This window comes from Homo sapiens, chromosome 16, assembly GCF_000001405.40.
Source record: "Homo sapiens chromosome 16, GRCh38.p14 Primary Assembly".
NCBI classification, from domain to species: domain Eukaryota; kingdom Metazoa; phylum Chordata; class Mammalia; order Primates; family Hominidae; genus Homo; species Homo sapiens.
In genome coordinates this window covers 27,241,218-27,268,152 of record NC_000016.10, presented here as the reverse complement: position 1 = coordinate 27,268,152, position 26,935 = coordinate 27,241,218, and the positions used below count along the sequence as shown (strand labels likewise).

Here is a 26,935-nt window from a genome sequence, read left to right as displayed (position 1 = left end):
TATGTTCTATGTTAGGTTTCACCCTCAGAGGGGGCTGGAGCAGCGGCTTGTAATCAAATACACGACCCTTTCCACAGCTAAAGTTATGAAGATACGCATATATTACATTGACCTGGTCGCGGTGGCCCACGGCTATAATTCCAGCACTTTGGGAAGCTGAGGGGGGCGGATCACCTGAGGTTCGGAGTTCGAAACCAGCCTGGCTAATATGGTGAAACCCTGTCTCTACTAAAAATACAAAAAATTAGCCGGGCGTGGTGGTGCGTGCCTGTAATCCCAGCTACTCGGGAGGCTGAGACGGAAGGCTGAGGCAGGAGAATCGCTTGAACCCGGGAGGCGGAGGTTGCAGTGAATCAAGATCGTGCCACTTCACTCCAGCTTGGGCAACAAGAGCGAAACTCCGTCTCAAAAAAAAAAATGCATATATTTACACTGTTGGGATAAATAACCATAAATAGCCTCACCTTAAGTCAGGTCAAGTTTTCCAACTTAAACAAGTTTTGGTATTCAGACTTTTTTTTTTTTTTCCCCTGCATCCGATCATCCACTAGTATTCATACCTTTTTAGATTTGAGGGTTGCAGATGAGGGACCTGGATTGTAGTTGTTCTGTTCACTCACTTTTCTCACTCTCGCTGGATAGAGAGTGTCCTTGAAAACAGGAACTGTGCTGTTGTATGGTCACGTCTATCTCTGCCACCAACTCTTGTGTGTCACCTTGTGCCCTCTTAGTCTCAGTTTCCTCATCTGTAAGATGGGGTCAGTGACCCTTTGCTCATAAGGTTGTTCTGGTTTGGGTTAAATGAGGTCGGGCATGTGAAGCACTAGAATTGTGTTAGCACCCGCACGAATGGTATGACTGAGATTTACTTATTCCACAAACATTTCTATTTTAAAATTATTAAATTTAAATAAATTGATTTAATTAATGCATTTAATTAATTTAATAATAAATTTAAACGTATAGATGTATTTCTTAAAATGTGGGTGATAGGAATTTTAAAGATTTATATAATGCTTCAAAAGCCTTCGAAAAGGTTTTTTTAATTGGTTTATCTGTATATATGAACTCTTGAAACTTATGGCTAAAACACTAGGATTTATCTGCAAGGTTGCAGAGAGATAATTCTGCCTTAAATTGGCTAAAACAAAAACAAAACCAGCCAACCTATATTATACATGGGATTAAAACCAATTTTTCTCCCATTTTTTTTCTCCTTTTTTCTTTTGCTGCCCACATTATGCCTTATTTTATGAGCCCCAGTTTTCTGGGCTTAGTTAAAAAAAATTCAGTTCTAAACATTGAATTTAGGGAGTTTTTGTTCTTGAATAAAAAGGCATATACTTAGAAAAAAAATCTGTTTATCCGGGAAAATATATTGAAATCATGCTGCTGAGCCTCTATTTTCTTTGATGTTTTGGTTCTGTATTATTTTATCATAACTTTTTAGCATTTAAAAATTTACTGATGTACATTTAAAGCCAATAAACTGTTTTAATTAATTTTTTTAAAAAAAGTAATTTTTTTTTTCTTTTTGTGACAGAGTCTCGCCCTGTCGCCCAGGCTAGAGTGCAGTGACGCGATCTTGGCTCACTGCAACCTCCACCTCCTGGGTTCAAGCGATTCTCCTGCCTTAGCCTTCTGAGTAGCTGGGATTACAGGCGTGCACCACCACGCCTGGCTGATTTTTGTATAAAATAAAATTATTTAAGTAGGTAATACATGTCTATGCTAATCCCACCATTCTCCCTACAGTCTCTTCTCATAGAGACAAGGGACATAATATGCATAAACAAGCTTATGGTTGTCTTTCTTCCACTCCTACTTTTCCCACTCCTTTTCCACCAAATTATAGCATTCAATCCTATCCTGTTCTCATTCTCATTTACATTTATTTTGGCTGTTATTTAACATATTCACATTATTTTGTTGTTGTTGTTGTTGTTGAGAGTGGATCTTGCTATGTTGCCCAGGCTGGTCTTAAACTCCTGGCCTCAAGCAGTCCTCCCGCCTTGACCTCCCAAAGTATTGAGATTACAGGTGTGAATCACCATGCCCAGCCCATCACATTTAAAAACATTGTATGTAACATACCTATACAATTGTGTGGAAGTGTAAGTTTGAAGAACAAAAATAAAATGAACACTCATGTACCTGCCACCAAGTTAAGAAATAGACATTTTCAGATTGCCAGACCCTCCACTGAATCCTTTCTTCCCTCCTCAAAGATAACCACCGCCCTGAATATTGTGTTACTTGTTGCCTTGTTTTGCTTTGTAGTTTTTACCATGTATGTGTGTATTTCTAATGAATGAATGTATGCTTTTGCTGAGTTTTCGATTTTATGTAATAGGATCCTAAAATATATTTTGTGTGACTTGCTTGTTGCACTTAACATTATCTTTCTGAGAAGTATGCGTGTTGATGTGAGGAGCTCTACTTTGTCTTCATTGCTGATTTGAATTCTATGGGATGATTATATTGTTTTAATGTAGTTCTTCAGTTGGTAGGCATTTATACTGTTGCCAGACTTTTGTTATTACAAGGTGCTTCTGTAAAAACATATCTCCTAGGGCAAATGTGGAAGTTTCTGTAAGGTATATACCTAATAGTAGATTTCGGGGGATATGCAAATTTGCTAGTAATATCAACTGTTATCTGAAATGGTTACAATAATTTATACTCAGCCTGGAGTGGTGGCTCACACCTGTAATCCCAGCACTTTGGGAGGCTGAGGTGGGTGGATCGCTTGAGTCCAGGAGTATGAGACCAGCTGGGGCAACAGGTGAGACCCCATCTCTACAAAAAATACAGAAATTAGCCGGGCATAGTGGTGTGTGCCTGTAGTCATAGCTGCTAGGGGGTTCTGAGGTCAGAGGATCGATTGAGCCCACAAGGTCAAGGCTGCAGTGAGCTATGACTGTGTCACTTCATTCCAGCCTGGGCAACAGAGTGAGACCCTGTCTCAAAAAAAAAAAAAAAAAAAAAAAAGGAAAAGAATTTATACTCTCCCAGCAGCAGATGAAAGTTTCAGCCTCAGCCATTCTTTTAAAATTTTTGCCTGTCTGGTGGTGGCTAAGACATTCCTTCACTGTGGTTTTCATAATCATTTGTCTGATAACATTGAGATTGAGCATCTTTTTTCTGTATTTATTCATCATTTATGCATCCTCTTTTTGTAAAATTTCTGTTGCCCATTTCTCTTTTACAGTTGTGTTTCCCATGCTGATTTGTAGGAATTCCTTATATAGTCTGAATATGAATCTTTTGTATTTTGTAGCTTATGTTTGTTTTAAATGCCCTCCAGTTTGTATCCCCTAACCCCCACCTTTCTGGTATTTTTGGTGAATAGAGGCCCTTAATTTTAACAAAAGTCAAGTTTATCAGTATATTCCTTTATGACCTGTACTTTTTATATCTCTTAAAGAAATCCTTCCCTACCCTTAGGTGATAAATATATTCTCTATATTGCCTAAAAGTCTTACAGTATTTTTCCTTATTATGACCTTATCCCTTCAGAATTGATGTTTGTATATAGTATGAGGTAAGAATCAAATTTTATTCATTTTTTTACATATGGATAACAAGTTTTCCTGGCACCTTTTATTGGAAAGTTTGCTTTCATCCGCCATCAAGTATCCATATATGTATACCTTTCCGTTTCTGAGTTCTCTGTTCTGTTCCATTGATTGGTCTTATTTGTCTATCTCTGTACCATTACCACACTGTACTCGTTACTCTAGCTTTATAAGAAGTGCTTTTTTTGTTTTGGTTTGTTTTTAGACAGGATCTTACTCTGTCATCCTGGCTGGAATGCAGTGGTGCAATCATGACTCACTGTAGCCTCGACATCCCGAGCTGAAGCAGTCCTCCCACCTCAGTATCATGAGTACCTGGGACTACAGGTGCATACCATCATGCCCAGCGATTTTTTTTTTAATTTTTGTTTTTAGTAGAGACAAGGTTTCACCACATTGCCCAGGCTGGTGTTGAACTCTTGGGCTCAAGCAATCTGCCCACGTCAGCCTCCCAAAGTGCTGGGATTACAGGCATGAGCCATCGCGCCCAGCAAATATGAGAAGTCTTTATAGCTGGTAGGACAAGTCCTTCTGCCTTTATTTTCTCCCAGGAATGTCTTTGCTGTTTTGCCTTTGTGTTTTCTATGTAAATTTTTAGAATCATCTTGTCAAATCACACACACACATACACAAAGCCTCTTGGGATGCTGACTGTAATAGCATTGATTCAATTGCATTGGGTCAATTTGGTTTTTAAAGTGATTGCTGCCAACATTTCATTTTTCAGTATGATGTTTGCTGCAGGTTTTTTGTAGACGTCACTTAGTAGATAAAAGATGTTTTCTTCGATTCCAAATTTGTTTTTGGTGTAGGTACATGTTGAATTTTATCAATTGTATATTCTGCATCATTAAGATGATCATATGCTTTTTTAAAAAAACTTAGGTTTGGCAGCACACGTGAAGGTTTATTAGATAGGTAAACTCACGTCATAGGGGTTTGTTGTACAGCTTTTTTAATCAGCCAAGAATTAAGTCCAGTACCCGATAGTTATATTTTCTGCTCTTCTTCCTCCTCCCACCCTCCATCCTCAAATAGACCCCAGTGTCTGTTGTTTCCTTCCTTGTGTTCATAAGTTTTCATCATTTAACTCCCACTTATAAGTGAGAACATGTGGTATTTGGTTTTCTATTCCTGTGTTAGCTTGCAGAGGATAATAGTCTCCAGTTTCATCCATGTTCCTGCAAAAGACATCATCTCATTCTTCTTTATGGCTGCATAGTGTTCCACGGTGTATAGGTACCACATTTTCTTTATCCAGTCTGTCATTGATGGGCATTTAGGTTGATTCCATGTCTTTGCTTCTGTGAATGGGGCTGCAGTGAACATTCCCGTGCATGTGTCTTTATGGTAGAATATTTCTGTTCCTCTGGTATATACCCAGGAATGGGGTTGCTGGGTCAAATGGTAGTTCTGCTTTTAGCTCTTTGAGGAATTGCCACACTGCTTTCTACAGTGGTTTAACTAATTTACACTCCCTCCAACAGTATATAAGTTTCCCTTTTCTCTGCAACCTTGCCAGCATCTGTTATTTTTTGACATTTTGATAATAGCCATTCTGACTGATGTGAGATGGTATCTCATTGTGGTTTTGATTTGCATTTCTCTAATGATCAGTGATACTGAGCTTTTTTTTCATATGCTTGTTGACCACATGTATGTCTTCTTTTTGAAAAATGTTGGTTCATGTCCTTTGCCCAGTTTTTAATGGGGTTGTTTGATTTTCTCTCGTAAATAGTTTGCAAATATTTTCTCCCATTCTGTAGGTTGTCTGTTTACTCTGTTGATAGTTTCTTTTGCTGTGCAGAAGCTCTTAAGTTTAATTAGATCTCATTTGTCAATTTCTGCTTTCATTGTGATTGCTTTTGGTGTCTTTGTCGTGAGATCTTTGCCCGTTCCTGTGTCCAGGATGGTATTGCCTAGGTTGTCTTCCAGGGATTTTATAGTTTTAGGTCTTACATTTAAGTCTTTAATCCATCTTGAATTGATTCCTGTATGTGCTGTAAGGAAGGGGTCCAGCCTCAGTCTTCACATATGGCTAGCCACTTATACTAGCACCATTTATTGAATAGGGAGTCTTTTTCCCATTGCTTCTTTTTGTCATCTTTGTCAAGGATCAGGTGGTCATAGGTGTATGGCCTTAATTTTGGGCTCTCTATTCTGTTCCATTGGTGTATGTGCCTGTTTCTGTACCAGCACCATGCTGTTTAGCCCTGTAGTGTAGTTTGAAGTCGGGTAACGTGATGCCTCCAGCTTTGTTCTTTTTGCTTAGGATTGCTTTCGCTATTCAGGCTCTGTTTTGGTTCCATGTGATTTTTTTTTTTTTTTTTTGAGATGAAGTCTCACTCTGTTGCTCAGGCTGGAGTGCAATGGCGTGATCTTGGCTCACTGCAACCCCCGCCTCCCAGGTTCAAGCGATTCTCCTGCCTCAGCTTCCTGAGTAGCTGGGATTACAGGCGCGTGCCACCCCGCCCAACCAATTTTTGTATTTTTGGTAGCGACAGAGTTTCATCATGTTGGCCAGGCTAGCCTCTTAACTCCTGACCTCAGGTGATCTGCCCGCCTTGGCCTCCCAAAGTGCTGGGATTACAGGCATGAGCCACCGCGCTCGGCCCTGTGTGAATTTTAAAATGCTTTTTCCTTTATTAATGTGGTGACTCACATTGATTGATTTTTAGATGTGAAACCATTGCTGGAATAAACCTAAGTGATGATATGTCATTCCTTTTACATATCTGGATTAAGTTTGTTAGCATTTTGCTTAGGACATACTGTAGCTGTGTTCATGAAAGATACTGGCTTGTAATTTTCCTTTCTTTTGACATCCTTGTTAGGTTTCAGGGCCAAATTAGGTTAGCCTTGTCAGATGGGTTGGGGAGGGTTTGCTTTTTTTCTGGCGCTGCGATTGTGTAACATTTGAAATTATTTGTTTTTAGACTATTTGGTAGAACTTCTTGATAAAGTCATTGGGACCTGAAGTTTTCTTTGTGAGAAGATGGATTTTCTATAAAATGTCATTAATGGTTATAGGAGTGTTTAGGTTTTCAGATAATTCATTCATTAGTTTTGAATAAATTTCCTATGACTTTTTACATAGTTAAATTTCAGATTATTATAAATTATTGATAATATTTTTAAGTATGTTAATTGCAGATATTTGTCTCATTTGCAGTTAATTTCCTTTTTTTTCAAATATTGTTTGTTTATAAGTTTTAGCTCTTGGAAAATCTTGTCAGAAGTTTTTCACTTTTATTATGTTTTTTCAAAGAATAGTTTTGGTTTTGTTGACCTTAGATATATGCTTATTTTCAGTCTTTATTAATTTCTGCCCTTTATTATTTTCTCATTTTACCTTTCTTTGGATTTAATTTGTAGTTCTTTTTATAGTTTCTTTTTTTTTTTTTTTTTGAGACGGAGTCTTGCTTTGTCACCCAGGCTGGAGTGCAATGGTGCCATCTCAGCTCGCTGCAACCTCTGCCTCCCATGTTCCAGCGATTCTCATGCCTCAGCCTCCCGAGTAGTTGGGACTATAGGCACGCACCACCATGCCTGGCTAATTTTTGTATTTTTAGTAGAGATGGGGTTTCACCATGTTAACCAGGCTGGTCTCCACCTCCTGACCTCAGGTGATTGACCTGCCTTGGCCTCTCAAAGTGCTAGGATTATAGGTGTGAGCCACCACGACCAGCCCCCGCAACCTTTTTTTTTTTTTTTTTGAGACAGGGTCTCACTCTGTTGCCCAGCCTGGAGTGCAGTGGTGTGATCACGGTTCACTGCAGCCTCGACCTCCCAGGCTCAAGCAATCTTCCCACCTCAGCCTCCTAAATAGCTGGGACTACGGAGGTGTGCCACTATGCCCAGCTAATTTTTGTGTTTTTTGTGGAGATGGGATTTTGCCATGTTGCTCAAGCTGGTTTTGAACTCCTGGGCTCACTGTGCCCAGCCTATAAGGAACTCTTATAATATAGAGGTAGATTTTATTCATTATTAATTTGATAAGGTTTTAAATCTGGTCTAACAGTCCTTGTCTTTAAGCTGGAACATTTAGTCTATTTTTATTCATTGTTATTACTAATCTAGTTGGATTATTTCTCCTGACTTACTTTGTTTTTTTGTGTTTGTTTTTCCTATCCTGGTTTTCCTTTCCATTATTTTTTCTCATTACATTATTCCCCTTTACTATTTGGAAATTATATACACTATTTGTTTTTTTAAAAGTTGTTACTCTAGAAATTGTAAAATGCAAGTGTAAAATTTATTCATGTCCAGCTTCTACTCCTGACCATCACAAGGCTATTAGAACACTAATCCCAGTGATTGCTCACCTCCCATTTATGTTATTATTTTTGTGTATTTAGTTTTTTAAAAACCTCATTCTTTTTACTGTGGTATTAAAAACTTTTTTTTAAAGATAGAAGCATTTCTTCTGATTTTTACTGTTTTATACAGTTAACTTGGATTTAACCACATATTTACCAACTTTTTTTGCTCTTTATTCTACCCTGCATTTTAGACCTTCCAACTTGTATCCCTTTCTTTCTTCCTGAACTATATGCTTTGGAATTTCCTTTAGGGAGCACCTGCTGGTCACTTGCTCTTTCAGTTTTTTGTTGTTTGGAAATGTTTTTGTCTTATCCTCAGTCTTCAGCTCGTTATAGAATTCTCTGTTGAGACACCCGCTCCCAGCATAGAAGATATGTTTCCACTGTGACCGGCTTCCATTGTTGCCATTGTGATGGCAGCCGGCAGTCTACTTGTTGCTCTTTAGAAGTCATCTGACTTTTTCTTTGATTGTGTTTAATCTCTGGTATTGTGTGGTTTTATTAGGATGAGCCTAGGTGGATATTTTAGAGTTTATTCTGCTTGAGATTTGATGGGATCACAATGACAGTGATTCGTATCATTTGTCCCCACTGCCAAGCCTCGGTGATACCTCATCCCCTTTTGTAGGATCCCTTCAGGAGACTGCTTTCTGGACTCTTTGCCTCCCATTTCTTTCCTCTACACCTCCATGATGCCAAAGAGGATAATCTCCCTAAAACACAGCTAGGCAACACCATGTTCCTGCTTCAAGACCCTTAGTTTGTAGAGATCCTTCATTTGCAGGATAGAAGTCCATTGTTTTTAGCCTAGCACATTCTAACCCTGTGCCCAGAACAACCACTGGCAAATACGGGGGTGCTAAGTACATCGACATGGAATGGCCCTAGTGATAGGAAATAAAGTTGATGACAGGCTGGATTTGAGGTTTAAGGAGAGGAGGACCAGAGTTCGATGCTCAGGTGTGTGGTATGATTGTGTGGACTGCACCGTCCACACCAGATGATTTGCAAAGAGAAGGACTTGGGAGAGGAAAGGGGCTAAGGAGGTGGAAGGAGAGGATGAGTCTAACGTAGGCTTTGTTGAGGTGCAGATTTGGTGAGATGGAGGATATTTTTCTAGCAGGCAGTTGGAGGGACTGGTTATGAGATGGCGCATTTTCCCAGCCCTGAGGTCCAGTTGAGGATGCTGTTAAAGAACAGCACTGGCTGGGCGTGGTGGCTCACACTGTAATCCCACCACTTTGGGAGGCTGAGGCAGGTGGATCGCCTGAGGTCAGGAGTTCGAGGCCAGCCTGGCCAACATGGTGAAACCCGTCTCTACTAAAAATACGAAAATTAGTCAGGCACGGTGGTGGGCGCCTGTAGTTCCAGCTACTTGGGAGGCTGAGCCAGGAGAATCACTGGAACCCGGGAGGCAGAGGTTGTAGTGAGCCGAGATCACGCCACTGCACTCCAGCCTGGGCAACAGAGTGAGACTCCATCTCAGAAAAAAAAGAAAAAAAAAAGAACAAAAGAGCAGTAATTAGCAGTCTTGTGGATCTCTTATGTGCCAGGTGCTTGGCAAGCCTTTGGTAGTTGTGACTCATTTAGGCTTCCTCTATGTCTTTAAGGTAGCTACTAGTTTCCCAGTTTTAGAGGTGAAGAGACTAGGCCTTAGGGAGGCTGAGCATTGTTAGCTAAAAATGTTTGCCTGCTGTATTTGCCCAAGGCACCAGTGAACTTCTTTCTTGTCAGATCTTGACATCACCTAAAATGAATGTAAACACCTCAGAATTCCAGGACCCATTGCAGTCAGAACATCCAGGAAAGGGTTTGGGAATCTGTATTGTTAAAATGCACATTAGGAAATCCTTAGGATCAGGCAGATCTGGGACTTTCTGGTCTCAGTGCTTCCTGTTTAGTTCCAAATTCACATTCTTAGCCCCTGCACTGCGTGCTCCATGGCAGTAGCCAGCGTTTTGATCAGGGCTTGTGGAATAGTTTTATTAACTGTGATCTTTGTGGTTTACGGAAAGATCCCATTTTGTTAGTGAGCAGGAGATTTCGAAAATAGTCTGAAGTCCTGCCATGATAGTTGTTTTATTAGTGGTTTGGGGAGAGGAGGAAACTAACATTTATTAAGTGTTTACTAGTAGTTCTCTCAGTAATGAACTTCATTATAATTTTATGGTGAGAAAACGGGGCCTCTGCTCAATTTCTCCAAGGCCATAGATCTGGTAAAAAGGCTCAGCCAAGGGTTAGACCCAGAATTGCCTGATAGTAAAAATAGCTCAGACTTATTTAGTGCTTACTGTGTTACCAGGCTATTACATGTATTAACCCATCTAATCTTCGTAGCAGTTCTGCAGAGGACGTTTCTATCATTAGTCCCACTTTACAGATCAGAAACCAAAGCCTGTGGGGACTAAGTTGCTCAATCTCACACGCCTAGTAAGTGGGAGAGCCAGGCCCTGAATCCCGGCATTCTAGCTCCAGAATCCACACCTCTTACCACTGCCCAGTCCTGATGCTGTGACTCGTGTTCTTCTTCTCACCTTTGTAGTAAACAGCATGAAGAATGACTTTTAAAAATGATAGCAAATTTATATTTGTTAATGTAAATTAGTACAAGACCCAGGACGTTGCTTCTGATGTGCTTGGGGTTGACTAGTGTCATTTACTTCCTTTTCAGTTCGTTCCCACATGCAGGGCAGCACAAGGAGAATGGGCGTCATGACTGATGTCCACCGGCGCTTCCTCCAGTTGCTGATGACCCATGGCGTGCTAGAGGAATGGGACGTGAAGCGCTTGCAGACGCACTGCTACAAGGTCCATGACCGTGAGTACCGTTTCCCTGTTCCCAGGGCGCTCTGGTGCTGTGTTGATCAGGGACCAGTGACATAGGTACAATACCATGTAACTTGTTAACCGGTACTCCTGAGCTGAGCATTCAAGCCTCTTCACAATCTTACACGGGCCCATCTTTCTAATTTCATCTTCCACTTTTATTTTTTTTCCAAGTAAACCTGACATTTAGCCCTGTGGATAAAAACTTAGAGTCTAAAGCTGTATAGTTGTGGTTCACACCAAGCCTCCAGGACCTGCCCCAGCCTCAGTTTCTGTATCTGTAAAGTGAGGATAGTAATTGTACTTAACACATAAGTAAGTGCATGGTTCAGGGAATTGAGAGACATGATATGTACAAGACAGTGGCGCAGAGACAGTGCCTAGTGGGGTATTGATGGACACAGGGCAGCTTGGCTGGGTGCGGTGGCTCACGCTGTTATCCCTGCACTCTGGGAATCAAGGTGGGAGGATAGCTTGAGGCCAGGAGTTTGGGACCAGCCTGGGCAATGTAGCAAGACCCTCTCTATTTTTTTATTTGAAAAAAAGAAAATAAATTATAAAACAAAAAAATGGGGGAGCTTAGCACAACACTTAAGGGCACAGCCTTAGACTGGGCCGGACCTGAAGAGTGTGTCCCTGCCCTGTGTCAGCTGAAGGCATTTGGGGCATCTTACGGGGCCACTGGGAGGGGCAAATAAGAAGCCCTTGGAGACAGGACATGGTGCTAAGTTCTAAGTAACTGGAGATGGTGGAAGAAACAGTAGGATCAGTGTTGATAGATCAGTCGAATTAGCATTGGCAGATATTGTTGAGTTGTGTGCCAATATGGGTAGATCTTACTGATTAGATTTTATGCAGTGACAAAGGTGATGGATGAGTAATTGTATGATGTGATTATGTTGTTTTTTTGTGAAGTACAAAATCGTTTTCATTGGTTATGAATGCATTTGCATGTAAAGGTATAAAAGTGGACCAGAAGAAGACGCAGGACACTTGTGAGGTGCTTGTGAGGAGAAGCAGAGTGGGAGTGGGCTGTCAGCAGAGATCACAGGACCCTTCACTTTTATCCTGTTATGTTCTTTTATTAAAAAGAAAAGTCTTGAAGCCAACGTGACATTATTAGCCTAACAACATGACATTAATTAGTGTAGTCTACTGGTTGTCACCTCTGATGAATGGGAATGCAGGCGTTTGGTTTTTATTCTGCCTTATTCTGCCTTTCTCTCTGTATTTTTAATTTTCAAAAGAAAAAGATAAAAAATGACATAGAAGTGAGCCAAGCCAAGAGGTATGAGAAAGGGCGTGTACAGGTACACAGGGAGCAAGTACACAGGTGAAGGGACACAAAAAAAAGGCAAAAAGATGCTTTCATTCTTAGTCCACAGGCATCCTGTAGCTCCTTGCAGTGAGCTGTGAAAGGGCGAAGGGACACCAGAAAGGGTGTCCCTCCTGTCCCCAAAGGCAAACACTTCATGAGTGCATTACATCTTCTTCCCAGCCACTTTTATGCCTTTGCATGCAAATGCATTCAAAAGTGATGAAGATCATTTTATACTTTTCAAAATGTGAAGGGACACGAGAAAAGGTAGGTGTCACATTTGGAGCACTGCAGTTTCTGCAGCATGTTAGAGTTCAAAGCCTGATCCCAGAGAGGTGAGCAGTGAATGGGAATAAGAAGAGGGAGACAGAACAGAAACGAATATTCTTTCAAGGTGTGCAAAGGAAGGAGGAATAAAAGAAGGTGGCGTGTTAGACGGAGAAGAAGCAGTTTGAAGTGTCTGGAGAGTAGCATCTGCGTTCTCCAGAGCACTGGTCCATGGAGGTGTTCCATGGGGAATTCTGGGAGCTCAGTAATGCCAGGAACAAGTTAGCCTGTTGAACTGTGTTTAATTCTGTGTATCCAAACCTAATTGACCTACTGATAACCTACCCTGGGAATCCCTAGACAAGAATATATGATGTGTGGGAAGAGAATACATTCTTTTCGTGTGTAGGTTTGCAGATCATGAAGAACCCTATACACCATAGTAATGGCTTTTTACTTCTGCGGACAGTGTGGCCCTCTTGAAGTATTCAAAGCAGAGAGTGAGAGAGACAGTTTTAGGTTTGAGAACCATCTCCGTGGTGAAGGTAGATGCGCCGCAGTTGTACCAGCAGAGAAGGATCTTTGGTGAGAGACTTTTGTATTGAAAGGGGATGTTATACCTGTTAAGCTAGTTTCTCTTGCTCTTTAAAAAGCATAGTAGCGGCTGGGTGTGGTGGCTCACACCTGTAATCCCAGCACTTTGGGAGGCTGAGGAGGGTGGGTCACCTGAGGTCAGGAGTTCAAGACCAGCCTGGTCAACATGGTGAAACTCCATCTCTACTAAAAATACAAAAATTAGCCGGGTGTGGTGGTGCATGCCTGTAGTCCCAGCTACTTGGGAGGCTGAGGCAGGATAATTGCTTGAACCTGGGAGGCAGATGCTGCAGTGAGCTGAGATCCTGCCCCTGCACTCCAGCTTGGGCGACAGAGCGAGACCATGTATCAAAAAAAAAAAAAAAAAAAAAAAAAAAAAAAGCATGGTTGGACTTTAAACCTACCCCTCAATATCCTCCAGAAATGTGCATAAGAACGCTTGTCTTCAGCCTGAGCAACATGGTGAAACCCAGTCTCTACCAAAAGTACAAAAAATTAGCCAGGTGTGCTGGCACACACCTATGGTCCTAGCTACCCAGGAAGCTGAGGCAGGAGGATCGCTTGAGCAGGGGAGGTGGGGGTTGCAGTGAGCTGAGGTTGCACCACTGCACTCCAGCCTGGGCAACACAGTGAACCCCCATCTCAAAAAAATAAAAGAATGCTTGTGTTAATCCTGAATCTCTTATTTACACGACAATTTAGTCCTTTTCTCTTTTTTTCTCCTGTGAGTCTTGACTGTAAGCTTTCATGTTGGTGGGGAAGTTTCACAGCTCACTGCAAGGAGCCACATGATGCCTTGGTACTAAGACTGAAAGTGTTTTTGCCTTTATTTGACCTTTAAAATTGTTATGATCTAATTTAGGAAAGTCCTGTAGAATGTGTCTAGGAATTGATTTATTCTTCACACTGTGTACCATTTCTTTGCACCTAGATATGGTTATGGCCAGGGTGAACAGGGTAGAACAATCTATTTTGTCCTATCTTCATTTAAGAAAAATGCCAAAAAACTTGTTACTGCATGTTCTTGTTATTAGGGAGATTTTAAACAGGAAATGACAGAAATTATCTAAACTTAAGTGAATACTCGCAAGACCCAATATTATTAATTTCCTATCTTTTGAAGAGATGGCCAGGAAAATCCCCTTGTACCAAATAGAAAAATATTTAGCTTCTAGGAAAATTATGAAACAAAGGAGTGATTGAAATTGCAAGTTATTCTAATTGCCATTTCCCAGGGTGTTTGTCCAGTTTATCAAATCACTTCTTATTCTAGGCTTTGGTTTGGGTTCTCTTCTTACTGTCGTTAAGGGGAAACAAAGTCCCCAATTCTCCTGGCTAGTGAAGAGTTTAGATTTTGTTCTCAAGTTCAGTGCAGGCCTTGGGTCGAGCCTTTCGGAATGGCGCTAGGGACCTGTGTTCTTAGAGGACCTTAGATTTTTGAGCCAGGACTTGCATCCACACATACGTTTATTCAACCAGCAAAGCTTCCCTAGAATCTCAAGTGAGCCAGGCCTCTGTGCTAGGGACTGGTGACTCAGAGATTGAATTTTTATTTTACCATGGCTCTCATGAGTCATACAGACAAGGGGTCAGATGATTCCAATATAGGCCTCCTTGATAGAAGTCGGCACAGGAGGCCTCGGGGGTGGTGGAGAAGGCTTGGGTTTGAGGTTTTCCACTTTTGGCCAGTATGGAGCAACAGGGCTCAGTACACCTTCTTGCCTGAAACAATTCAAAAATGGACAAAGTATAAAATACTGGACATTCGTCAGTCAAGGCCAGTGATCTTTCGAGAGATGGGCAATGAGGGTTTCTTTTTCTCTTGACACTTGATGTGGTATCTTTTCTAACACTACTCCAGTTCTCTAGATAACAACTGGGCATTCCATAATTCAGTTTAATTCTGACACTATCTGCCTGGAGTTAGCATCAAATCCTACAAGTTAAAGGGCTCAGTGTCACAAGACTGACCCAACTTAAGACACCAGTTGTAAGTCCTGGGCTACCTGTGTTTCTGACCAATGGCTGTACATCAGTGGTTCCCATAACTCCCTCTTTGGATTTGATAATTTTCTAGAATGATTCATAGAACTCAGGAAAACACTTTACTTACATTTTGACTTACGTGGTTTTTTTATAAAGGCTACAACTCAGGAACAGCCACATAGGAGAGATCACAGGGCCAGCTGTGGGAAGTGGGGGTGGCATGGAGTTTCCGTGCCCTCTCTACTTGCACCACCGTCTCAACGCCTCTGTGTGTTTAATAACCCGAAGCTCTTCAAATCCTGTCGTTCAAGGGTTTCTTTTTTATTTTTATTTTTATTTTTTTTGAGACAGTTTTGCTCTTGTCGCCCAGGCTGGAGTGCAATGGCAAGATCTCGGCTCACTGCAACCTCTGCCTCCCAGGTTCAAGCGATTCTCCTGCCTCAGCCGCCTGAGTAGCTGGGACTACAGGCGTGAGCCACCACACCCGGCTAATTTTTGTGGTTTTAGTAGAGATGGGGTTTCACCATGTTGGCCAGGCTGGTCTCGAACTTCTGACCTCAGGTGATCCGCCTGCCTCCGCCTCCCCAAGTGCTGGGATTACAGGCATGAGCCACCGCGCCCGGCTAAGTTTTAAATTATTTGTAGAGACGGGGGTCTTCTTCTGTGGCCTAGGCTGGTCTCGAACACCTAGGCTCAAGTGATCATCCTGCGTCAGCCTTCCAAAATGTTGGGATTCAGGCGTGAGCCACTGCACCCAGCCCAGTTTCAGGTTTTATAGGGCCTGTTGATTATTGAATTTGGCACACTCTAAGAAAAATAATCCCACAAAATTGTGAATCCACCATTAGAAATGATTTGAAATATTTATTTAGCCACCGTGCCTGGCCATTCCTGGGTTTCTATGGAGGTTTCTTTACACAGGCATGATTGATCAGTCACTGGCCGTTGACGAGTGCTTCCATCTCCAGTCCCTCTCTTCTCCTCAGATATTGGGGAGTGGCTGAAAGTTCCATGTTTTTTATTGAGGCTTGGTCATTCTGGTGACCAGCCCCCATCCTAGGGGCCTGCCAAGAGTTGCCTCATTAGAGCAAAAGATGCTTCTATCACCTATATGACTCAGGGAATTCTAAGAGTTTTAGAAGTTCTGTACCAGGAACCTGGGGGAAAGACCAAGTAACTTTCTTCTGCCACAAGCGATAGTGGGAGTGAGCAGTACAGCTGCCCCAGCTCAGTGCCTTTAGAAAGTTTCTAGGCCATGGCACAGGGGAAACCCAGGCAGAGCTAGGCAGCCTCCCTGCGTTGAGGAGATGGAGATGAGAGTTCAGGGAGACTAAGGCAGGTAGAGGTTGCAGGACGGAGTACTTACAATGGAGTATAAGGTGGACCAGAGGTGCACAGAGAGAAAACTTGAGATGTCCAAAGTGCCCCTCCACTCAAGGATCCCGCTGAGAACTGATGAGCAAGAAAACTTCTTAAGGCCAGGGAGAGAACTAGTTGAAGGATTAGAGAAAACAATGCCAGCTATTCACAGAACTGGGAATAGTGCCCGGCCCAAACATTTGAGGAAGAACTCACACCATTTCTACCCAAACTCTTCTGTAAAATTGAAGAGAATATGTTACAACTAATTCTATGAGACCTGCATGATTCTGATACCATAACCAGACAAAGACATTGCGAGGAAAGAAAACCCCAAACAAGACTCCTCATGAGCGTAGACGTTAACGTGCTAAACCCAACTGTGGCAAATCTAATCTAACAGTGTTTACAAAGGATGGTACGACATAACCAAGTAGGGTTTATCCTGATTTTGCAGGGTTGATTTAGTATTAATATTTGAAAATCAGTGTAATTCACCATATTAAGCTAAAAAAGAAAAATCTTGTGTTTATCTCAATAGGTACAGAAAAAGTATTTGACAAAATCTCATGTTTGCCCTGGTGTGATGTAGCAGAAAGTTTTTTATAGGAAGCTAAGGGATCCTAAGTAGCAGGGGATAAATAGGATAAATAGACTTAGAACACAAGTGAGGAGTCTGAACTCTACAGAGTTTTATATATATATATATATTTATATATATATATATATATATATATATATATTTTAAATAATTAAAATTAAGGCTGGGCGCGGTAGCTCACGCCTGTAATCCCAGCACTTTGGGAGGCTGAGGTGGGCAGATCACCTGAGGTCGGGAGTTCGAGACTAGCCTGACCAACATGGAGAAACCCCGTCTCTACTAAAAATACAAAATTAGCTGGGCACGGTGGTGCATGCCTGTAATCCCAGCTGCTCGGGAGGCCGAGGCAGGAGAATTGCTTGAATCCGGGAGGCAGAGGTTGCAGTGAGCTGGTATCGTGCATTGCACCCCAGCCTGGGCAACAAGAGCAAAACTCCATCTCAAAAAAAAAAAAAAAACAGTTAAAATTAAATAAATTTCATTTATTTTATTATTTTATTTTATTTTTGAGAGAGAGTCTCAAAAAAGCCTCCCAGGCTGGAGTGCAGTGGTGCCATCTCAGCTCGCTACAACCTCCGCCTCCTGGGTTTAAGCAGTTCTCCTGCCTCCGCCTCCCGAGTAGCTGGGATTACAGGCACGTGCCACCACGCCCGACGAATTTTTGTTATTTTTAGTAGAGGTGGGGTTTCACCGTGTTGGCCAGGCTGGTCTTGAACTCCTGGCCTCAAGTGATCTCCCTGGCTTGGCTTCCCAAAGTGCTGGGATTACAGGCATGAGCCACCGCGCCTGGCCCTCTACACAGAGTTTAAAAAAAAAAAAAAATCCAACAGCTATTCCTGATTAAAAAACAAAAACAAAAACAATACCCTCAGCAAAGTGAGAAAAGAAGGGAACTTCCTTAACCTGATAAAGGGGATCTCTGTAAAACCTACAGCTAACATCACTCTTAATGGTGAAAGACTGAATACTTTTCCCTAATCTCAGGAGAAAGACAAGAATGTCTGTTCTCACCACTTTTGTTCTAGCTAGTGTACTGAGGCGAGAAAAAGAAACAAAAGGTAGCTGGATTAGAAAGGACGACACAGTAAAACTGTCAGTTCACAGACAACATGATCATCTGTGTAGAAAATCTGATGGAATCTACAAAAAATCTTCTGGAACTAATAAGTGAGTTTAGTAAAGTTGTAGGATACAAAATCAATATCCAAATACCAATTGTTTCTCTATATGCTGGCAATGGATAATCAGAAATGGTAATGTAAAAATAGCACCATTTATAATAACATTAAAAATAAGAAATGCTTAGGAATAGATCTGGCAAAAATGTGTTAGACCCGTACACTGAAAACTACAAAACATTGTTGAGAGAAGTCAAAGGAGATTTAAATAAGTGGAAAGACATAGCATGTTCATGGGCTGGGAAATTCAGTATTGTTAAGGTATCAATTCTCCCCAAATTGATCTATAGATTCAAAGAAATCCCAGTTAGATCCCAGCAAGGCTTTTTATAAAAATTAACAAGCTGATTCTGAAATTCACATGGAAATGTAAAGGACCTAGAAGAGCCAAAACTATTTTGAAAAAGACAAACTTGAGGAACCCTGCCTGATTTCAAGACTTACTGTATGGCTGTCCTATCAAGACAGTGTGGTAGTCATGTCATGATGGACAAACAGATGAAGGGAAAAAAATAAGAGAGCTAGATAACAGACCCACACATAGGTGGACAGCTGATTTTTGACAGAAGTGCAAAGGTAATTTAGTGGAAATAGTCTTTTCCAAAATGAGTGCTGGAATAATTGGATATCCATAATCAAAAAATGAACTGCAAGCCATACTTTGCACCAAATACAAAAATTATCTCAAAATGAGTCATAGACCTAAATGTAAAACCTGAAACTATAAAACTTCCAGAAGAAAACATAGGAGAAAACCTCTGTGACCTATGATTAGTCCAAGATTTCTTGGCTCCAAAAGCATGCTCCATAAGAGAATGAATCGATAAATTGAACTTCACAATTAAAAATTTACATTAAAAAATACTCTTTAGAGACTGAAAAGACAAGCAAAATACTAAGAGAAAATATTTGCAAATAATGTATTTAATGAATGACTTGTATTCAGAATATATAGAGAATTCTCAAAGCTCAAAAATAAGAAAACATTCAACCCGGCTGGGCGTGGTGGCTCACACCTGTAATCCCAGCACTCTGGGAGGCTGAAGCCGGTGGATTGCTTGAGCTCAGGAGTTTGAGGCCAGCCTGGGCAACATGACAAAACTCCGTCTCTACAAAAAAATACAAAAATTAGTCAGGCATGGTGGCATGCACCTGTAGTTTCAGCTACTTGGGAGGCTGATGTGGGAGGGTTGCTTGAGCCTGGGAGGCAGAGGTTGGAGTGAGCTGAGATTGTGCCACTGCACTTCAGCTTGGGTGACAGAGGGAGATCCTGTCTCAAAAAAAGAAAAGGAAAAGGAAAAACATACAACCCAGTAAGAAGTGTGCAAAATATTTGAACACTGCAAATCGGTTGTACAGATGGCAGATGAGCACATGAAAAGATGCTCAACATCATTAGACATTTAAAAAATGCAGGCCAGGCATGGTGGCTCACACCTGTAATCCCAGCAGTTTGGGAGGCCGAGGTGGGTGGATCACGAGGTCAGGAGATTGAGATCATCCTGACCAACAGGGTGAAACCCTGTGTCTACTAAAAATACAAAAATTAGCCAGGCTTGGTGGCGGGTGCCTGTAGTCCCAGCTACTTGGGAGGCTGAGGCAGGAGAATTGCTTGAACCCGGGAGGCGGAGGTTGCAGTGAGCTGAGATCACGCCACTGCACTCCAGCCTGGGGAGAGAGCAACACTCTGTCTCAAAAAAAAAAAAAAAAAAAAAAAGCAAACTAAAACCGCAGTGAGCTACCACTGCATGTGTATTAAAATGGCTAAAATGAAGAAGACTCTGCAAGGCAAGTATTGGTGAGAACATGGAGGAACTGGAACTCTAATATACTACTGTTGGGAATGTAAAATGGGACAGCCATTTAGGAAAACAGTGTGGCAATTTCCTATGATTCAGCCATTCCTCTCTTAGGCATTTATTCAAGAGATATGAAGCTATATGCCCGCACAAAGGCTTGTGCAGAGATAGAGTATCTTTATTTGTAATGGCCCCAAATGTGAACACCTAGTTGTCCATTTGCAGTTGAACAGATGAACAGACTGTGATAAATCCATACTACTTAGCAATAAAAGTAAGTGAGCTCTTCCTACATGCTAGAATATGAATGAATCAGAATGATTTTGCTGAGTGGAAGAAGTGAGGTGAAAGAGTATAAAGCAATTTTGTTTTGTTTTGTTTTTTGTTTTTTTTTTTTTGAGACAGAGTCTTGCTCTGTCGCCCAGGCTGGATTGCAATGGCGCAATCTCCGCTCACTGCAACCTCCACCTCCCAGGTTCAAGCGATTCTCCTCCCTCAGCCTCCTGAGTAGCTGGGACTACAGGTGTGTGCCACCACGCCCGGCTAATTTTTTTGTATTTCTGGTAGAGATGGGGTTTCACTGTGTTAGCCAGGATGATATTGATCCCCTCACCTCGTGATCTGCCCACCTCGGCCTCCCAAAGTGCTGGGATTACAGGTGTGAGCCACTGTGCCCGGCCATATGAAGGCATTTATGTGAAATTCTAGACAATGCGTACCTGACTGTAATGACAGGATGGTTCAGTGGTTGCATGGGGATGGCATAGAGGAGGGATAGGATGGGTAGGTGAGAGGGATTACAAAGAGGCACAAGGAAACTTGGTGAGTGTATTAGTCCGTTCTCGCGCTGCTAATAAAGACATACCCAAAACTGGGTAATTTATAAAGGGAAGAAGTTTAATTGACTCACCGTTCAGCATGGCTGGGGAGGCCTCAGGAAACTTACAGTCATGGTGGAAGGGGAAGCAAACACATCCTTCTTCACATGGTGGCAGGCAGGAAGGAGAAGTGCTGAGCAAAAGGGGAAAAGACCCTTATAAAACTGTCAGATCTCTTGAGAACTCACTCACTGTCACAAGAATAGCATGAGGGTAACTGCCCCCATGATTCAATTCCCTCCCACCAGGCCCCTCCCATGACATGTTTGGATTATGGGAACTACAATTCAAGATGAGATTTGGGTGGACACAGCCAAACCATATTGGGGGTGATGGAAATATGTCTTTGCAATCCAATATGTATTTTACACTTAGTTTAGACTGGCCCCATTTTAAGTGCTCAGTAGCCACATGTGCTATTTGTAGAATGTTCCTCAGCTTAGGTTTGTCTGGAGCTTCCTCCTAATTAGATCTAGGAGTTTTAACTTTGCAGATATAATATGGAAGCGGTGTTGTGTTCTCTCTGCATCCTACCAGGTCGGCTACGGTGTTGATGGGGTCAGCCAGGTTTCTCCAGTGTACAATTACTCTTTTTCTATGTGATTAATAAGTATATTGCAGGGAGGTACTTAGAGACAAGGTAAATATCTCATTCTTGGCCCGGTGCAGTAGCTGATGCCTGTAATCCCAGCAGTTTGGGAGGCTGCAGCAGGTGGATCACTCAAGCTCAGGAGTTTGAGACAAACCTGGGCAACATGGCGAAACACTGTATCTACATAAAATAAAAAAATTAGTCGGGCCTGGTGGCATGAGCCTGTAATCACAGGTACTCAGAGGCTGAGGTGGGAGGATCCCTTGAACCCGGGAGGCAGAGGTGGCAGTGAGCCAAGATCATGCCAGTGCACTCCAGCTGGGTGACAGAGCAAGACCCTGTTCCAAAAAATAATCCCACTCTTCATCCCATTTTTACCTATTAGTTTTAAAATACTTCCCTGGATTCATTCTTATTTTATGGTTGCCAGACTGCTGTGAGGTACAGTTCTATACTCTCCAGCACTAACATTTTAGAACTAATTACACTGTATTATCATGTTTAATGTTAATTTTTATGAGGTTTTAAATTATCTATTGTTTTAAGGACAAGTTAGGTAAAAATGTCTGAAGTTTTAGATTTAAAAATTTAGGTTTAGAAATACTTCAGTGAGCAGAGTAAATAATTTGATGTTTGGGCAAAAACCAGGTCGCTGAAATACATGTGTCAAAACTAGATGAGTGAGTCAAGTATCATGGTCACGTTGGGGTTTGATAAAGATTTTCTGTTTTTGTCAACTCTCTTATCTGCCTTCATCCCGGGTTTGTTTCCAGCGTGCTGATTGACATGCCTGTATCTGCTTCGTCGTCTCACGCTGGACTCCTGTACATCATCAGGCTACGTGCGTTGATGGTGAATCAGCGATGTTGACATTTTGGTTTAGTATTCCATCCTGTCTGTAGTCCTATTTGTAAGCACCTTCTCTTTCCAAGGAAGACTCAGTCATAATTAGAAGCTGGCTCCAAGTACATTTTCCTTCTGTTTTTAGTGATTTCATTTATAGATCTCCCCTTTGGCAATGATGAACAGTTAATCAGCATACCACTGTCAGAGCCGGTCTGCCTTTCAGTTAATCAAGGGAGATAAAGTCTGGGATCATAACTGAAAAGTGGCAAAAAATGAGTATGAAAAGTAACATCTAACGTGTGACTCGATGAATTTCTCAACATACAGAATTGACAGCCGGCAGTTATTAAGTGCTTAGACAGGAATCTTTGGGTTCAAGAAGCTCTGTAACCACAAGGAAATTGATGTTGCTTTTGTGTCTCTGGCTCTTGCTGGCCTAGATGTGTCCAAGTCCTGCCCGTTCTTCATGTCTGCAGCCTGGGAGTCCAGGCTGGACTGCTCCACCGCAGCCCTTTCAGGCCAGCATGGAGTTGCTGAGCCAGGATTTCTGTGCGCTTCACGCTCCCCTAAGCACACACATCATGTGTTTGGGAATGCATTTTGAACTGGATCCCAGACATGAGAGAGGTTATGTGCTGATGCGTGGAAGTACTGGGAATGGATTCAGTGGGATTACCACAGACCCCGCTGGCTGGAACAGGGAAGCCATTTTTCAAAGGCATGAATTCAAGTCCTGTTTCTTCCAGGGTCTGGGGAAAGTTCTTTTACTTTTCTGAGTCTCAGCTTTCTGTGTTATAAGGGACATCACATTCATTTCATGGAAGAGTCTTGAGGATTAAGCAAGGGAATGTATGTTCAGCGCCTGGCACAGAGTGCTTGTGGGCACACGTTCACTTCATGCTCACCACTGCCTCTTCCTTCCTTTTCTGCCCCTTAACTTGCCATCTAATCCCAATTGCTGGGGGTGAGTGGTGGGGGGTGACTATCAGAAGACCCATGGTGCTGGTATGATAGTGTGATAGGAATTATTTTATAGACCACAGGGCTGAATTCTCTTGGGGTTTTCCTAGAAAATTCACAAAGCATGGTCACCACTTGTACCACACATCTTCCTCGGTTCGTGGACGGATACGTCTTGAGTGTCAGCTGAATGTTGGGCTGCTGTGGTGAATAGGATGAGCAGATCCCAGCCTTCAGGGAGCTGGCATTCTGCTTAGAAAGAGAAAGACCGTAACTCGGAGGCAGACAGTGTGGTAGTTTGGGGTGCTAAGTGCTGGAAGGAAGCATTGAGTCCCTCGGTAGAGCGGGCCTGGGGTGTGGCTTTGGCCAGGGCCTCTGTTCAAACCTTTCTGTGGAGCTGCCATATGTGGCGATGCTCGGGTGATGAGGGGCAGCCCTGCAGAGATATGCGGGAGACGCTTTCCAAAGGGAAGGCAGCATGAGTGAAGGGGCTGAGATGGGGAGGAGCTTGGTGTGGGGGAGTGGGGGACAGAAAGGCAGGTGGCAACATAGGTCAGGGGATGGAGCCCCAGACATCTTCCAGGCTGAGTGCTGGGACCTGGCTCCACTCAGCTGCATGTGGAGGACAGACAGATGGAGAAGGCTAGAGGGGACACCGGGAGAATGTTGGAGGCTGTTGTCTGCTTCAGACTGTAGTGAGTGGGGAAAGGGAAGGGCGTGCGCCTGTCAGAGCGACTGCAGTCAGCCGCCTTCATACCAGCCACTTCTTAGCCCCTGCTTAGCCCAGAATGGGCACCAAATTGAGTCCTCCACGGATAAAGTGTGAACATAAACGGAGACCAGGCAGCAGAACAGGCAGCAGCTGCTTATTTAGAGCTTGCTCCAGCAAGAGAGGCAGCCTCCACTTGGGTTTAGCAGAGACTCCAGGAAGGCAGAGGAGTGGGGAGGCTTCAGGTGTGCCTGAGTGGAGGCTGCTGGCCAGGGCAAGGTGGAGACAGCTAACCAGAAGTGGGGCGTCCTATGTGATTGGTTAGAAGTACATATGTGGCTTTCTCTGGTTTGTTGTCTCTTAGAAACAGGGATAAAAATTAGGGAAGCTGGCAAGCATGGTGGTACATGCCTGTAGTCCCAGCTACTTGGGAGGCTGAGGCGGGAGGAACACTTGAGGCTAGGAGTTTGAGACCAGCCTGGGCAACATTGCGAGACCTCAGGGTCTGCAGAAGAAACAAAGTTAGCTGAGCGTAGTGGCTCGTGCTTGTAGTCCCAGCTACTGGGGAGACTGAGGTGGGGGGATCACTTGAGCCCAGGAGTTCAAGGCTATAGTGAGCTATGATTGCACCACTGCTCTCCAGCCTAGATGACAGAGCGAGACCCCATCTCTAAAATATAAAATAAAATCAATTAGGGTAGTATCAGTTACTGATCCTGCCTTGGTCCTTTTGGGCCATGATTGTGGGTTAGTTTTGGCTTCTGGACTGGTTGCTAGGGGACTGGCCTGGCTTCCTGCAGGTCTGGCTTAGAGGTGGTGGGCTGGCTTTCTGGGCAGGTTGATGTAGATTTTGGGTTGGAGTTCTGCTTTTATACGTGGTCTGGCCATTGGCTGCAGCCCATTGGCTGTTTGTATGTTCAATCTCTCAGAAGAATGAGTGTAACACGGTCCATTCCTTTGAGCTGCTCACAGTCCAGCCTGTGTGAGAAATAGTAACTGCTTAGCTGGTGGGTCAGGGAACAGAGTGACCTCATTAATCACTGTGTCTCATGACAGCGGGTTTCCTGCCCACATCGGAATTGGGAGACGGTGAACGGTCAGTGGTATATAACTTACAGGCATTGTTTGTTTGCACTATAGTGTTTGTAATTTTTAAGAATTACCAGGTTAAACAGAAAACAACCGCCAGGAGATTCTGTGTAAACACCCAAAACTCGGGCACTCGGCTGGAGCAGAGCAGTGCTGCCTTCTTTGGTAGAATGCGTGCCGCCAGCTCCCTGCTGTGCCCACAGCTGTCTGCAGCTGTGCTTCCTGCCTGCCTCTGTAGGCATCAGATTTGTCCATTTTCAGTTCGCTCAGTGCAATCTGAGCAGGAGGAAACTTACCCAACAGGGATCAGGAAGAACTGCTCTGGTTTCAGGGGCTGGGGTGACCAGGAAGCCTCTCTCCCGTCCCCTGCAGAGCCCCTGTATCAGCTCTGCGAGGGCTCCTGCATGGGTAGGGATGGGGACCAGAGCGCCACAGAAGGTGTCAGAGCTGCCACTCATCTCAAGGATAGATGGACCACCTGTTTTCAGTGGGTGTGATTAGATGAAATGTGTATGAACAGCATCAGTAGCAAAATATATAGTAGTTTATGTTTCTCATGACGATTTCCATTATGATCCAGAACTTTACCGTGATAAAGCAGTGGGCACTGCTTTATTGCCAGTGGGAGTCCTGACTGGTAGACCTCCAGCCAGGGGAAGGTCCCATAGATGCTGCATAGATAGGGACAGCAAGTGGATGTCCCCATCACCACTCCTGCAGTGGTGTCATAGGTTTTAGTACCATAAATGCATGCAGCTGAGATGCAGGTACTGTGCCCAGTAACATGAAATAAGTTTTATGCTCTGTCATTTGAGTGAGGCTAAAGAGCAGATTTTCTGATTGTAATAAACTTCTGATTGTAATAAACTTCTTGAGTTTAAGAAGAAAAGAACTCTGTGTACAGATCTCAGAACAATAGGTTTTAAAACCATACGTTATTAAAATCCTATTTCTTCTCTACTGTCAGAGCACTGAGCTAATCTACCTTGTCACACAACACTCATTTTTCTCTTTAGATTGAGATTCATGAGGGTCAAGGAGTCAAGTTATATGATTGTTGAGCACTGAAGTATTTTTACAACATTTTATTATGGAAAAAGTCAAACAGAAAAGTGGAGAGACTGATACAGTGAAGCCCTGTGTGCCATCACTCAGTTCCGATGATGAACGCAGGACTGATCTTGTTTTATTTATGTTTGTACCTGCTTACCCACGTTATTTTGAAGTATTCTCAACATCATTGCATGTATATGTAAGAATTTTTTTCTGATGAATGCCCACATCCTTTCGTGATTGCATCCAGCTAATGGCCAGACATCTGATTTCTGGTCTAGACTTTGTCGCTTCCTGTCCCGTCTTAGGTATGTCCTTCATCTCTCTGACCTCTGAGAAAGAGAAGCAGCGATCCTTTCTGGCTCGCCTCTGCATTGGTTGCTGAGGGTCTGCTGAGAGGTGAGGAGCGGCGCTGCAGCGTGTAGTGAATGAGCTGGTGCACCGATGGAGAGGACGGTTCGTCACTAAGTGATCTACCACAGACCAGCCACTCTCCTTCCACCCGGCTCTTCCCAGCATTGTTCACTGGCCATGCTTGGAAGTGCCCATGGCAGTTCTCATCTTTGCATCTGTGTGCCTGAAGGTCCAGAGAATCTTTTTCCCCAGGCGGTTGGGGGAAAGATGAGAGCTACAGGCTGAGAGGTGAAATCCTGTGGCCCCTCACAAACCTCCCCAGCCCCGTGTCCTGCCCACCAGCCCTTCCTTCTTCCCAGCCCAGGGTCTGCTCTCTTGGGCCAGCTCCACTCCTGCACCCCCGTCTCATCCAGGGCCTGCCCTGCCCTGTCCTCAGTGCTGTGCTAGCAGGACCGCCCGTCCACCCTGTCTGTCGGGAGGGCTGTCAGAGGGTAAGTTGGCTCACAGTGGCTTGGGCCCTTGGAGTCTTATTTTTTGCTGTTATTTCCTCTGCCTAAAAATAACATTTTATGTTTTTATTGCCTAGTTTAGAACAAAACTATTTGTTGGTCAGAGGTCAGGGCAGT

At 43.1% G+C, this 26,935-nt stretch overlaps 1 protein-coding gene across 4 annotated transcripts in view, besides 1 other annotated feature; it reads left to right on the top strand.

Annotated features, from left to right (window-relative positions):
* NSMCE1 (NSE1 component of SMC5/6 complex) overlaps positions 1-26,935 on the top strand; it is a 43,779-nt gene that overhangs the window by 620 nt on the left and 16,224 nt on the right. For 2 of the 4 annotated variants that reach the window (NM_145080.4, XM_006721023.5), the window contains one exon: positions 10,572-10,718. In NM_145080.4, the coding sequence (NP_659547.2) occupies positions 10,583-10,718 (136 nt within the window). In that variant the 5' untranslated portion in view covers positions 10,572-10,582. Of the gene's footprint in view, positions 1-10,571; positions 10,719-24,781; positions 24,910-26,263; positions 26,355-26,668; positions 26,801-26,935 lie in introns of those variants that run through there. The other 2 variants (XM_047433773.1, XM_047433772.1) reach the window with 2 other exon arrangements.
* Positions 8,720-9,219: an enhancer, noted in NCBI's record as "H3K4me1 hESC enhancer chr16:27270255-27270754 (GRCh37/hg19 assembly coordinates)". NCBI's record gives its function as "activates a minimal SCP1, AML or CMV promoter by ChIP-STARR-seq in primed H9 embryonic stem cells {active_cell/tissue: H9 hESC(primed)}" and the evidence as "EXISTENCE:reporter gene assay evidence [ECO:0000049][PMID:30033119]".